Source organism: Homo sapiens, chromosome 21, assembly GCF_000001405.40.
Source record: "Homo sapiens chromosome 21, GRCh38.p14 Primary Assembly".
NCBI classification, from domain to species: Eukaryota; Metazoa; Chordata; class Mammalia; order Primates; family Hominidae; genus Homo; species Homo sapiens.
This window is the reverse complement of record NC_000021.9, coordinates 17738717-17753527: the sequence shown is the minus strand read 5'-3', so window position 1 is coordinate 17753527 and position 14811 is coordinate 17738717. Positions and strand designations below refer to the sequence as shown.

Here is a 14811-nt window from a genome sequence, read left to right as displayed (position 1 = left end):
TCTCTTAAGTTAATGGAATAAATGTTACCCTATTGGAAAGATGGTGACAACTAAGGCAGCGTAGGACAGGGGTGGAAAGGAGCCTGCTCACTGGATAGATTGTATAGGTGTTTCTAGCCAGGTGGATTCATTAATATTTTTAAAGTAACAAAAATTTTAAAAAACAGGAAGTGTCTCCAGTGGGCACATGCAACTTAGGCCACAATTAAGTCTGCTATGAGTTAAAATTGAAAAACAGTCAATTAAAATCATAAATGCCTACATTTCTCCTGAAACATTCCTACACCTCATTGTTTAAATGGCCAGTAGGAGAAGCTCTGTGCTTAAAGCCTTTTCATTGAATATTTATCTGGGAAGCTCAGATTTGGAGTATATCAGGAAGGGAACAGGCATATGATTTGGATGCAGTATTTGGATGCAGTACCATTTAGTTAACATATTTATAATTTAGTAAAAGGGCTGCCCTACTACCAAATGTGATCACTTTCTCAATTCAATCAGATGGAGTCACATTGGTAGAACCGATCTTAAAATCATTTTTTTTTATTGGACAGGATCTGGCCACTCGTATTTAGAATATTCCCAGGGTACATTCTTTGAGATTTTTAAATTATGTATGAAATAGAAAGGAGCATAAATGGGACCCTGTTGGAAAGCAGCTCAGAATCTAGAAAGTTCTGGCAATGCACTTAATTATTGGATTTGGTAAAAGCCTTCTGAAAACTGAGACTTTATAGACCCTTATAATTTATAATTCAGGTAACCATTTCACAGAATTTGCCCACATTACTAGATCCTATCGTCTTTCTTTGTGAATTATTTATGTACGAGTTTCTGTCTTCTAAGTCCACACAAAGTTCCATGTGAAAAATGTGAATGCAGTAGGATCCCTGTGCAGGAGCCAACAGGATGCTTGACGTGGTTTAAAAATAAATTAGGGAAAGTCACCAGGAAGCAAGCAAGTCTTCTCCATTGCAGGAAGGATTTGAGTGATCTTTCTTAATTAGTAAATGTGGAGAGAATAGGCCTGATGGCGTGGGTGCAGGGCTCCAGAGCATGAAAAAGAGTTTTTGTTATTCCAGCAAAGGTCTAGTGATTCAAGGAAACACAAGGTAACCAAGCTGTCTCTTGGGAGGAAATGGATTGGCTTACATAAAGAATCTAGAGCCTTCTGGGAAGGAAGATATCAACAGTCCCACTCTGTTCCCAGAACCTTGAAGTTAGGAAAATTCTGTCAGGGTCAACAGTCACCTGGAGGTAGGCCTGCCCTGCAAGAGCTCCTGAAGGAATCACTAAACATGGAAAGGAACAACCAGTACAAGCCACTGCAAAAACATGCCAAATTGTAAAGACCGTCGAGGCTAGGAAGAAACTGCATCAACTAACGAGCAAAATAACCAGCTAACATCATAATGACAGGATCAAATTCACACATAACAATATTAACCTTAAATGTCAATGGGCTAAATGCTCCAGTTAAAAGACACAGACTGGCAAATTGGATAAAGAGTCAAGACCCATCAGTGTGCTGTATTCAGGAAACCCATCTCACGTGCACAGACACACATAGGCTCAAAATAAAGTGATGGAGGAAGATCTACCAAGCAAATGGAAAACAAAAAAAGGTAGGGGTTGCAATCCTAGTCTCTGATAAAACAGACTTTAAACCAACAAAGATCAAAAGAGAGAAGGTCATTACATAATGGTAAAGGGATCAATTCAACAAGAAGAGCTAACTATCCTAAATATATATGCACCCAATACAGGAGCACCCAGATTCATAAAGCAAGTCCTTAGAGACCTACAAAGAGACTTAGACTCCCACACAATGATAATGGGAGACTTTAACACCCCACTGTCAACATTAGACAGATCAACGAGACAGAAAGTTAACAAGGATATCCAGGAATTGAACTCAGCTCTGCACCAAGCGGACCTAATAGACATCTACAGAACTCTCCACCCCAAATCAACAGAATATACCTTCTTCTCAGCATCACACCTCACTTATTCCAAAATTGACCACATAGTTGGAAGTAAAGCACTCCTCAGCAATTGTAAAAGAACAGAAATTATAACAAACTATCTCTCAGACCACAGTGCAATCAAACTAGAACTCAAGATTAAGAAACTGACTCCAAACCGCTCAACTACATGGAAACTGAACAACCTGCTCCTGAATGACTACTGGGTACATAACGAAATGAAGGCAGAAATAAAGATGTTCTTTGAAACCAACGAGAACAAAGACACAACATACCAGAATCTCTGGGACACATTCAAAGCAGAGTGTAGAGGGAAATTTATAGCACTAAATGCCCACAAAAGAAAGCAGGAAAGATCTAAAATTGACACCCTAACATCACAATTAAAAGAACTAGAGAAGCAAGAGCAAACACATTCAAAAGCTAGCAGAAGGCAAGAAATAACTAAGATCAGAGCAGAACTGAAGGAAATGGAGACACAAAAAAACCCTTCAAAAAAATCAATGAATCCAGGGGCTGGTTTTTTGAAAAGATCAACAAATTTGATAGACCACTAGCAAGACTAATGAAGAAGAAAAGAGAGAAGAATCAAATAGACGCAATAAAAAATGATAAAGGGGGTATCACCACCGATCCCACAGAAATACAAACTACCATCAGAGAATACTATAAGCACCTCTACGCAAATAAACTAGAAAATCTAGAAGAAATGGATACATTCCTCGACACATACACCCTCCCAAGACTAAACCAGGAAGAAGTTGAATCTCCGAATAGACCAATAACAGGCTCTGAAATTGAGGCAATAATTAATAGCTTACCAACCAAAAAAAGTCCAGGACCAGATGGATTCACAGCCAAATTCTACCAGAGGTACAAGGAGGAGCTGGTACCATTCCTTCTGAAACTATTCCAATCAATAGAAAAAGAGGGAATCCTCCCTAACTCATTTTATGAGGCCAGCATCATCCTGATACCAAAGCCTGGCAGAGACACAACAAAAAAAGAGAATTTCAGACCAATATCCCTGATGAACATCGATGCAAAAATCCTCAATAAAATACTGGCAAACCGAATCCAGCAGCACATCAAAAAGCTTATCCACCATGATCAAGTGGGCTTCATCCCTGGGATGCAAGGCTGGTTCAACATACGCAAATCAATAAACATAATCCAGCATATAAACAGAACCAACAACAAAAACCATATGATTATCTCAATAGATGCAGAAAAGGCCTTTGACAAAATTCAACAACCCTTGATGCTAAAAACTCTCAATGAATTAGGTATTGATGGGACGTATCTCAAAATAATAAGAGCTATCTAGAACCAACCCACAGCCAACATCATACTGCATGGGCAAAAACTGGAAGCATTTCCTTTGAAAACTGGCACGAGACAGGGATGCCCTCTCTCACCACTCCTATTCAACATGGTGTTGGAAGTTCTGGCCAGGGCAATCAGGCAGGAGAAGGAAATAAAGGGTATTCAATTAGGAAAAGAGGAAGTCAGATTGTCCCTGTTTGCAGATGACATGATTGTATATCTATAAAACCCCATCGTCTCAGCCCAAAATCTCCTTAAGCTGATAGGCAACTTCAGCAAAGTCTCAGGTTATAAAATCAATGTGCAAAAATCACAAGCATTCTTATACACCAATAACAGACAAACAGAAAGCCAAATCATGAGTGAACTCCCATTCACAACTGCTTCAAAGAGAATAAAATACCTAGGAATCCAACTTACAAGGTTGGCAAAGGAACTCTTCAAGGAGAACTACAAACCACTGCTCAATGAAACAAAAGGGGATACAAACAAATGGAAGAACATTCCATGCTCATGGGTAGGAAGAATCAATATTGTGAAAATGGCCATATTGCCCAAGGTAATTTATAGATGATTCAATGCCATCCCCATCAAGCTATCAATGACTTTCTTCATAGAATTGGAAAAAACTACTTTAAAGTTCATATGGAACCAAAAAAAGAGCCCGCATTGCCAAGCCAATCCTAAGCCAAAAGAACAAAGCTGGAGGCATCACGCTACCTGACTTCAAACTATACTACAAGGCTACAGTAACCAAAACAGCATGGTACTGGTACCAAAACAGAGATACAGACCAATGAAACAGAACAGAGCCCTCAGAAGTAATGCTGCATATCTGCAACCATCTGATCTTTGACAAACCTGACAAAAACAAGAAATGGGGAAAGGATTCCCTATTTGATAAATGGTTCTGGGAAAACTGGCTAGCCATATGCAGAAAGCTGAAACTGGATGCCTTCCTTACGCCTTATACAAAAATTAATTCAAGATGGATTAAAGACTTAAATGTTAGACCTAAAATCATAAAAACCCTAGAAGAAAACCTAGGCAATACCATTCAGGACATAGGCACCAGCAAGGACTTCAGGTCTAAAACACCAAAAGCAATGGGAACAAAAGCCAAAATTGACAAATGGGATCTAATTAAACTAAAGAGCTTCTGCACAGCAAAGGAAACTACCATCAGAGTGAACAGGCAACCTACAGAATGGGAGAAAATTTTTGCAATCTACTCATCTGACAAAGGGCTAATATCCAGAATCTACAATGAACTCCAACAAATTTACAAGAAAAAAAAATCAACCCCATCAAAAAGTGGGCGAAGGATATGAACAGACACTTCTCAAAAGAAGACATTTATGCAGCCAAAAGACACATGAAAAAATGCTCATCATCACTGGCCATCAGAGAAATGCAAATCAAAACCACAATGAGATATCATCTCACACCAGTTAGAATGGCGATCATTAAAAAGTCAGGAAACAACAAGTGCTGGAGAGGATGTGGAGAAATAGGAACATTCTTACACTGTTGGTGGGACTGTAAACTAGTTCAACCATTGTGGAAGTCAGTGTGGCGATTCCTCAGGGATCTAGAACTAGAAATACCACTTGACCCAGCCATCCCATTACTGGGTATATACCCAAAGGATTATAAATCATGCTGCTATAGAGACACATGCACATGTAGGTTTATTGCGGCATTATTCACAATAGCAAAGACTTGGAACCAACCCAAATGTCCAACGATGATAGACTGGATTAAGAAAATGTGGCACATATACACCATGGAATACTATGCAGCCATAAAAAATGATGAGTTCATGTCCTTTGTAGGGACATGGATGAAGCTGGAAACCATCATTCTCAGCAAACTATCGCAAGGACAAAAAACCAAATACTGCATGTTCTCACTCATAGGTGAGAATTGAACAATGAGAACACATGGACACAGGAAGGGGAACATCACACACCGGGGCCTGTTGTGGGGTGGCGGGAGGGGGGAGGGACAGCATTAGGAGATATACCTAATGTTAAATGACGAGTTAATGGGTGCAGCACACCAGCATGGCACATGTATACATATGTAACTAACCTGCACAATGTGCACATGTACCCTAAAACTTAAAGTATAATAATAAATAAATAAATAAAATAAAAAAGAAAAGAAAAAGAGAAAAAATAAAAAACAAAAAACAGTCACCTGGAGGCAAGGTCAGTCTAGCTGGGGACCAGGGTCCAAGAAAGAATGTGGTGCTGTATCCAAATCATATGCCTGTTCCCTTCCTGATATACTCCAAGTCTGAGCTCCCCAGACAAAGGTATAGGAAGTTGTTGTTGGGTGAGAGGGAAACACTGGTTTGAGCACAGTGGGAAATTGATGCTAGACACACAGGCCAGGCCCAGAATCTGGCCTCAGCAGTTGTGTTTGGAAAATAATCCCTAAGCCTGGGAGGTGCACCAAAAGAATTTTGTAAGCCAGTGGTGCCATCAGTGTCTAACGGTGCCTGGAAAATCTGGTGTTTGCAAATAGGACCTACCTGGCTGGAGCGGGTCATTAAGAAGGAGGTTCTAGATTGCCTGCTAATAGGGCAACTGGAAACCAGAGAGGCAAATTGAACAAATAAGAAGATGCAAGTATCTTCCCCTAGTTTAGGAAGCCACTTGATGTAGCGATGCAAGCTTGAAAACACTGATTTTGGGTTTTTTACATCAGCTCACTCAGCTAGCTGCGCTTCTTCGTTTCTCAGGTATTGAGAAAGGGTCAAACTCCAGTGCCTTCAGGCATAAGGCTAGCAAAACAATTGTCATATAATAAGAAACACTTGTGTTGCAGCTCAGAAAATGATACCCTCAAATATGCCGCTTTAAAACTCAAACTGAGAGCACCTGGAAAGCAGCAAATGCAGGTAAGGGTTTTCTCTGATCTTGCCTTATCTGACTCAGGGAAGTTCCCCCAGAAAAATAGCAACCACGAAAGATTAACTCACAGAAAGAGAATAATAGTCTGATACCTCCTTCAGAGAAACTTGTACCACTGGCTATCATCTATTCTTCTGAGGGCTGCTGCCATAGAGACTTGATCTGCATAATAAGACAGCTTTTACTCGCTGTACAGTTCCTCCTCTTGCCCCCATAGCTTGTTGCCACCACCCTCCAGGGCACCCTAGCTTCAATTCCTTTCTGTGTGGCATAACAACTTTAGTCATCTGGTCTTTCTTTGACTCTTATATTTTGTGAGGCTTCTGTTCAATTGCAAGTAATGAACTGTATGCTTTTCCTTCTGTGAATCTGCCTACTATCAGTTTGTTCCAGGGATCCAAATTATTGAACCTTAAGAGAGTGCAGGGAAAGTTTAAAACTGGAGAGTGTACTTCTCTTCCAAGGGAATCTAAATTTAATGTTTTACAATCTGAGCTGATAAAGACCAAAAAAATTAATTTGTCTGCAGCTTGAATTCAGCCCCTCAACTGTTAACTTCGATACTCTACAACCCCACGGTGGCTACAACTGGTTTTAAATTATTCAAATCTGTTTCTGGGAAGATAAAAACTGCCTTCTCATGGTCACTAAGGAAGAATTTTAAAGGATCTTATAAGGAACAGTAAACACTTTATGAAGCTATAAGTCAGGGCTAAGCTCTAGGTCCTAAAGACCCCGAGATGACTAAGCCAAGTTCCCTCCTCAGTGAGCTCCTGGACACATATTCAACATTGCCAATATCATTTGTTCAGTTTCCTGTCCCCTTGAATCATTAGAAATGCTTCCCTGTAACAGTGTTGGATAAATCCAATTTTACCTTCCTTAAAGCCAGATTTTATGTAATATTTATGAGACATTTTTACTGTAAGAATTAGAAGCCATTGATACTGTTGTCCACTTTCCCATGGTGGGGTTAAACACATGTTACCCCAAAGCTGAAGGAATTTAAGAAAACCACAGAAGTAGAAAGGTCACTCTGATCTTGCCCTACCCTTTTTCCCTGGAACAGGTCGTAACACCCTCCCCATACCCACAGGAAGGAACATCCTTATATCTGAAGACACAGAGACACAAAAAAGAATCTGAACAAATAGACTTTACTAAGTTTTCCTCCATTGATTACATTTAGTTTAAACCATCTTTGTCCTATCATATTTCTCCATGATTGTCTACTCTTGATCAAACCTACTGTAAAAAGCTTCAGGTTTGTTTCTTCGGGTCTTCATTTCCTTATGAAGGCTCCCACGTCATGTAAAACTTTAATTGGTATGGCTTTTCTCTTATTAATGTTAGGGCTCAGAATACAACACCCCCAAATAAGGGCCTCAACAGCAGCCTCAGAAGCAAAAGTTTTTCTCTGCCCTACTATCTCTCAGTCCCATCTTCCCTGGAGACTAGCCATAGAAACTAGAATCCCTCTTCCCCACGGTGGGTCTTAGAAACCAGAACCCCTGGCCAGGCGCGGTGGCTCACGCCTGTAATCCCAGCACTTTGGGAGGCCGAGGCGGGCAGATCACGAGGTCAGGAGATCGAGACCATCCTGGCTAACACGGAGAAACCCCGTCTCTACTAAAAATACAAAATAATTAGCCGGGTATGGTGGTGGGCACCTGTAGCCCCAGCTATTTAGGAGGCTGAGGCAGGAGAATGGCGTGAACCCGGGAGACGGAGCTTGCAGTGAGCCAAGATCACGCCACTGCACTCCAGCCTGCGTGACAGAGCGAGACTCCGTCTCAAAAAAAAAAAAAAAAAAAAGAAACCAGAACCCCTTCTCCCCAGAGTTAGTTACAAAGCCTCAAACGATTATTCTAATTTTCCCTCTGCCTTTCTGTGTAAAAACTGACCACAAAGAAATTATCCGACCTACCTTGTTTGACTACAGGTCATAAGATCCCCGTTCCAGAAAGGATCCTGCCCCATATCCAGAAGAAAGGAATGTGTGCTCGGACAGGCTGAGAAGAATCTAGACAGACGGGGCTGGCTGGGTTTCCCCACTCAGCCTATTTACATTAGATTCTATCCTTTTTGTCGAGTCACATTTCTTTTTTTTTTTTTTTTTTTTTTTGAGACAAACTCACTCTGTCACCCAGGCTGGAGTGCAGTGGCACAATCTCAGCTCACTGCAACCTCCACCTCCCAGGTTCAAGCAATCCTTCTGCCTCAGCCTCCCAAGTAGCTGGGATTATAGGTGCCCACCACCACACCCGGCTAATTTTTGTATTTTTAGTAGGGATTTCACTATTTTGGCTAGCCTGGTCCCGAACTCCTTTTTTTTTTTTTTTTTTTTTTTCTTTGAGACGGAGTCTCACTCTGTCGCACAGGCTGGAATGCAGTGGTGCGATCTCAGCTCACTGCAAGCTCCACCTCCCGGGTTCACACCATTCTCCTGCCTCAGCCTCCCCAGCGGCTGTTACTGCAGGTACACACCGCCACGCCCGGCTAATTTTTTTTTTTTTGTATTTTTAGTAGAGACAGAGTTTCACCGTGTTAGCAAGGATGGTCTTGATCCCCTGACCTCGTGATCCACCCACCTTGGCCTCCCAAAGTGCTGGGATTACAGGCATGAGCCACAGTGCCTGGCCCCGAACTCCTGACCTCAAGTGATCCGCCCGCCTCGGCCTCCCAAATTTCTGGGATTACAGGCGTGAGCCACCACGCCTGGCCATCCAATCACATTTCTACATGGCTATCTAACTGTTAAATCTAAACATAAAAATGGACAATTTCTCCTCTATCTTTGGCTCTTCATTCTGAAGATTCATTTATACCCATTAAGTAAATTTGAAGCGGGGCACAGTGGGTCACACCTGTATTGCCACCACTTTTGGGAGGCCGAAGCAGGAGGATCCCTTGAGCCCAGAAGTTCAAGACTAGCCTGGGCAGCATAGGGACACCCCATATCTAGAAAAAATATAAACAATTAGTCAGGCATGGTCCCTGTGGCCTGAGCTACTTGGGAGGCTGAGGTGAGAGGATCACTGAAGCCCAGGAGGTTGAGGCTGCAGTGAGCCAAGATCATGCCATTGCACTCCAACCTGGACAACAGAGCAAGACACTGTCTTAAAAAATAAATAAATTTTTATTTTATTAATCAGTCTGCCTCACGTCAGAGATTTCGAGCAAAAATTTAGGGGGCCAACGGCCTTGGCTCCTGTAGTTTGGTGTTACAAACGGGATCATCAAACCTGCTCTGCTCTTCTAGAAGCTACAAAGATGAGAACCCAAGAACCTGACAAGCCAGCAAAAAGATAAGAATTTTTCTACCAGTCAGACTCCCAGCCTTTCTCTATGTATAATCTGGTTGGGCAGCCAATGAAAATGACCACTTGTCTCCTCTGCAAAGTTTTCATTAGTGGAAGAAAAACATTTGCATATGACTGGTCTTGGTGTAGTGACTCTGGTATACCTTTTGGTACTTTGTGGTATGATTATTCATATTGTCTGAAATAAATTTAATGACTTTTTTTGTTAGAAACATTGCTGATTCTATTAATGTTTGGTTTTCCAGGGTAAAGAGAACTTTTTTTTCTTTGAAGCTATTTATAACTTACAACAAATTGGGTAAAATATACTTTTGCAAGCAAAATGAAAGCATTTTTCTTTCTCTCTACCAGATTTCTCCAGAATTTGAAATGATTTGTGAGTATTCTTAATTTAAGGCAATATAGTTATTTGCATAAATTCAATAAGAATCTGTTTTCTTTTGTAACAGGACACAATTGGAAACACTGGTTATTTTACCAAGGCTTTGACTGGAGTGGCATATGACCAGACTGCTTTGAGGAACTGAAGTGAATTAATAGAACTGATAAAAAACCCCTTCAAAATACTGGCCTCTTACCTTGCCTAAGCAATTTCTTTACAAAATTTCTGACCTGTGGTAAGTAAAGAATGTCACTTTCTTGACCGGCCCAGGAACCTCAAGTTATTTTGGGAACTCAAGAAGAGAAGAATTTACCCAATTTATACGGGTATCTGCAGGCACAAATAAATTATCAGCTTGGCTGACCTAGAGGGTCTTTTAAAAGTCTAATTTGAGGTTTCATATTTTAAAAGTTTCAGCAAAGCCAATTTAAAGGAGCCTATATGACCAATCACTATTCTTGCTGCACTTTATGCAAATCATCAGGCCAAGTATAATAAGAGTAAAACTTGTTTTACAAATAAATTGGTTGTATTGTGATTCATCCTTAGTAAAAATGGGAAACCAGAGAGAAAGAAATTATGTTTCAGAAAAAAACTATAGTACAGCTATTATTAGATTATAACCTCATCTATTGCTTTTCAGTTTTTATTGTTTATCTACAATTTGGACTCAATCCTGAACTCTCCTGTAGTTACAAGTCTATACCTAATATTTCTCATTTTTCCCCATATGTCTGACTTGGAATCACTGAAATTAAAACTGCTTTTTCCTAAAGCCCCACGAGCTGAAGCTAGACAACTTGATATAAATTTTAAGAGAAATCACTATAGCAACTAAATATCTGAACAGTCTTCATGCTTGTTGATGTATTGACTGCACAGAAAGTTTCCTGGAATATCTGATGTAAACTGCAAACTAGATTGCCACTATCTTCTCTGACTTCATCTGAACATGCTTCAAGCTCAACATCTAAAAATCCTCTCAACTGGCTGACCTCTGGACTAAAAAACTGAGTTTATAGTTTGTTCTAACCATTAACTCTGGTTTTTCTTTGATATGCACAGAAGTTCTTCTTACTAAATATCCAATTGCTCAAATCACATAGAGGACTGACTTTGGGGAAAGCCCATCAACAACAGCACTGCCTGATTCACTGTTAACTATTTAACTGGACTGGCCTATTCTCTGGGCTGAAAAACTGGTTTAACAGCTTATAAGACAATCCAGCAACTCTATTTCTGAACTATGAAACTTCTTGGGAAAGTTTCACAATGGGGAATGTTGTGGATCAGAAAACAACAGCCCAAAATGAAGGCCTCAGCAGCAGCCTCAGAGGCAAGTTTTTCTCTGACCTTCTCCTGCCCTGCTATCTCTCAGTCCCATTCTTTCCCAAGGCTAGCCATAGAAACTAGAATCCTTCGTCCTTCCGGTGGGTCTTAGAACCAGAACCCTTCTCCCCCAAATTAGTCATAAAACCTAAAACTATTATTCTAATATTCCCTCCACCTTTCTATGTAAAACTAGCCATAAAGAAACTATCTGACCTACCTTGTTTGACTGTAGGTCATAAGATCCCATTCCAGAGAGGGCCCTTCCCCATACTGAGAAGAACGGAATGCTTGCTCAGAGAGGCTGAGAAGAATCTATACAGGGCTTGCCGGGTTTTCTGCTCTGTCTACTAACATTAGAATCTACTCTTTTTGTTCCATCCTGTTTCTGTATGGCTGTCCATAATTTGTTAAACCTAAGCGTAAAAATGGACAATTTCTTCTGTATCTTTTGGTCTTCATTCTGAAAGCTCTCTTGTATACATGTTAAATAAATTTGTATGCCTTTTCTTTTATTAATCAATTTGCCTTATGTTGATAATTTTCAGCAAAACTTTTTGGAGCCAAGGGCCTTATAGGGGCCTCACCCATGAACCTAAGATGAGTAGAAAAAGAGATATTTTCTTCCCCTCCGCCTACTCACACCTTAGCCTGTTTGTCCCTTCTGTCACTTAAACCTTTAGACACCCACACATGCCAACTTACCTCTCTGACTGTGTCTTCTGCACTATGAACCCAGAAGAGTTTTTGGCCCATGGTGTGTTTTTCAGGCACTCCATAATTGGAACTGAGTTCTGCTAGCCTGGAATTCTGGTTACCCTTCCTGGCCTTTTTCTGTGGGAGTCTCTTGATACACACTTGAATCTTTGAAAATTAAATTCATTAAATCCAGACTTAGTTTCCTGGATTCTGAATCATGCCTTCTCTTTAGCTTGGCATGGTATTTTGACTTTGATTTCCTTTCTGTAAGCTTGGTGCCCCTCCCGCTTTTTTCTCTTCTGTGAACAGACGTTTCTGTACTAAGAAGTAATTTCTTTTCTGCACTCAGCTCCTCTCGTTCCCTCCCTGCCCTGCTTCTTCTCAGTTTGTCCCATCTTCTTGCTACTTATAATTCTCCTGATACTTTTGAAGGTACCCTTCTGTAGAGCTGCTTTTATTAAGTGAATAAATTTAGAGTGTAAAAGTCGAATAGTAAAAGACATGAATCATGTACTGAAACTTCATCTTTTAGAGAAAATGTAATCCTCATAATTCTTTCAAAAGGATAAGGCATCAATTGGAAGATTTTGGCTGCAGAATAAAAATCCTTCCTATACCTAGCTTGTTCTCCCCACTCTGTTCCCCCATTTTTAGTCCCCAAATCACCAGTTTTCCTTTCATCAAAGAAAAAATATCCATATAATTATATGGTTATATGATAGACCATTTTCAGTCACTTAATCACTTAATTCTTACCAAAGAAGTTTCTATTTCCTCTAACAATTTATTTCCTGTGTGATTTCCACTTTGAGTATTTCATTTTAATTAATGAAATTCATCTTCATTCCTGAAGTCACAGGAACTCCCCAACCACCTGTACCTTCTGTTTCACATCCAATTACTTCTTACTAAATTCCTGAAGAGCATAGTGATTCAGGCTCAATAGACAACATTTCCTTTAAAAATAAATTTTTAAGCATAGATAACCTGACAAAACATTGAATATTTCTAAATCTGCTTTCCAAATGTGTGTGTTTTAGAGATGGGAGTGGTAAAAGGGAAAGGTCAAACTGAAAATTATTCCCAGTCATCTTGATTCTGCATTTGTCACATGAGTATCCTTTGGCAAAATTCTAGAATTCCAACACTTTTGTAAACATGGGACAGGGCTACTCAAATGCCAGTCGACCGAACCTTGTGTTTTACTTTTGAGTTGATTGCTATACTATTTCGCAAACTCAGACAATGATGCCCCAAAGTATGGCATTGTGGTATGCTGAGTACTTTGAACTAAAGAAAATGGAAAGACCTCAGAAGCAGCGCAGAACCAAAAATCTCTCTGACCTCCTGTCTCCCATCCCTCTTTCTGCTTCAAAGCAAGTAATAGAAACCAGAATTCCTCTTTCCTTTTTTTAATCTTTAATTTTAAAAAATATACTTAAATAGAGAAAGGATCTCACCATGTTGCTCGGCTGGTTCTAAACTATTGGCCTCAAGTGATCCTCCTGCCTTAGCCTCCCAAAGTGTTGGGATTACAAGCATGAGCCATCACACCAACCCCAGGATTTTTCTCTTACTTAAGGTGTGTCATAGAAACTAGAACCTCTCTTCAAAGCAAACCATAAAACCCAGAAAGGTTACTCTCTGCCTTCTCCTTTCTTCCTTGAAGACCCTCATTCCAGAGGAGTTCTGCCCCATACAGTGGGGTTCAGGGGAAATGCTACCCAGAGACATCTAGAAGAATCTGAACAGACAGATCTTGCTATGTTTCCTCTCTCAGTCTATTACCACTAGATGTACTCTTTTTGTTCAATCACATTTCTACGTGGCTGTCCATTCTTCATCAAACCTAAGCATAAAAGTAGGCCATTTTCCCCAGCTCAATGAGTCATCATTTCTGAAGTGTCCTGTGTCACATAAAACTTGGGTTAAATAAATTTGTTATGCTTTTCTCTTGTAAACCTGTTTTTGTTATAGGACTGTTGATTGTTACCCTTATAATTGATTTAAAAAAAAAGGGATCACATCTTTCTGCCCCTACACTACTCATACAATAGTAGTTTTGCTTGTTTCAAAACTGATACATTTCTTAAAATCATAATCCATTTTGTTACTATATTAATATAGATACTACATAAATATGAATAGTGCTGGAGGCCCAGGCAATTCCAGTTTTTCACAAATTACTATCCAACCTTCCTAAGTCAGTGTTTAACACACTTTCCACACAACCATTATCATGTGACGATTTAGTTCTAAGGCAGAGGAAAAAACCCATTCAACCCTCCACAATGAATAAGGTGGTTTACCATGTGAATTCCCAAAGGAAAACACGTTTAGAGTTCCAGTTCATGCTCTATCTGGAATGTCCATAAGCCCAGAGTTATGAAACTCAACTCTGCTCCAGCATCAAGAAAAGAGGGGTGACAAGACCAATTAGCGCCAGCAGTGGCACTAGGAAAGGGGGAGGTGGCAGGCATGTGTGAAGGGTATGAACAGCCACAGGATTTTGTCAGCTGGACCAACAGAATAAGAAAGTCCCCAACACCAGGGAGGGAGGGGAGCACCATGGCAGCAGCAACAGGAAAGTGCACATAAGAGATATGTTAAATCAAACTAAATTTAAGCTTTAGAAGTCTCCATATGAGCCCTACATGACAACCTGCAACTTAACTTAATAGGGAAACCAACTGAAAACCTGACTTAGGAATTTGCCTTTGTAACAAATAGCTGAGTCTCGGCCAATCACGGCAGCAGAGCTTCAGTCAATCACAGGTGGCCAGCTATTCAAACCAGGTTCAACAGGCAAATACCAAGCTTTAACTGGCTGAGCCGTCTGTATCCCT

At 40.3% G+C, this 14811-nt stretch overlaps 1 long non-coding RNA gene across 2 annotated transcripts in view; it reads right to left on the bottom strand.

The window, feature by feature from the left end:
- Positions 1–8233, bottom strand: part of LOC124900465 (uncharacterized) — a 145830-nt gene extending 137597 nt beyond the window's left edge. For both annotated transcript variants that reach the window (XR_007067823.1, XR_007067822.1), the window contains exon 1: positions 8160–8233. This is a non-coding gene — a long non-coding RNA (uncharacterized LOC124900465). The remainder of the gene's footprint in view (positions 1–8159) is intronic.
- Positions 8234–14811: the final 6578 nt, after the last annotated feature.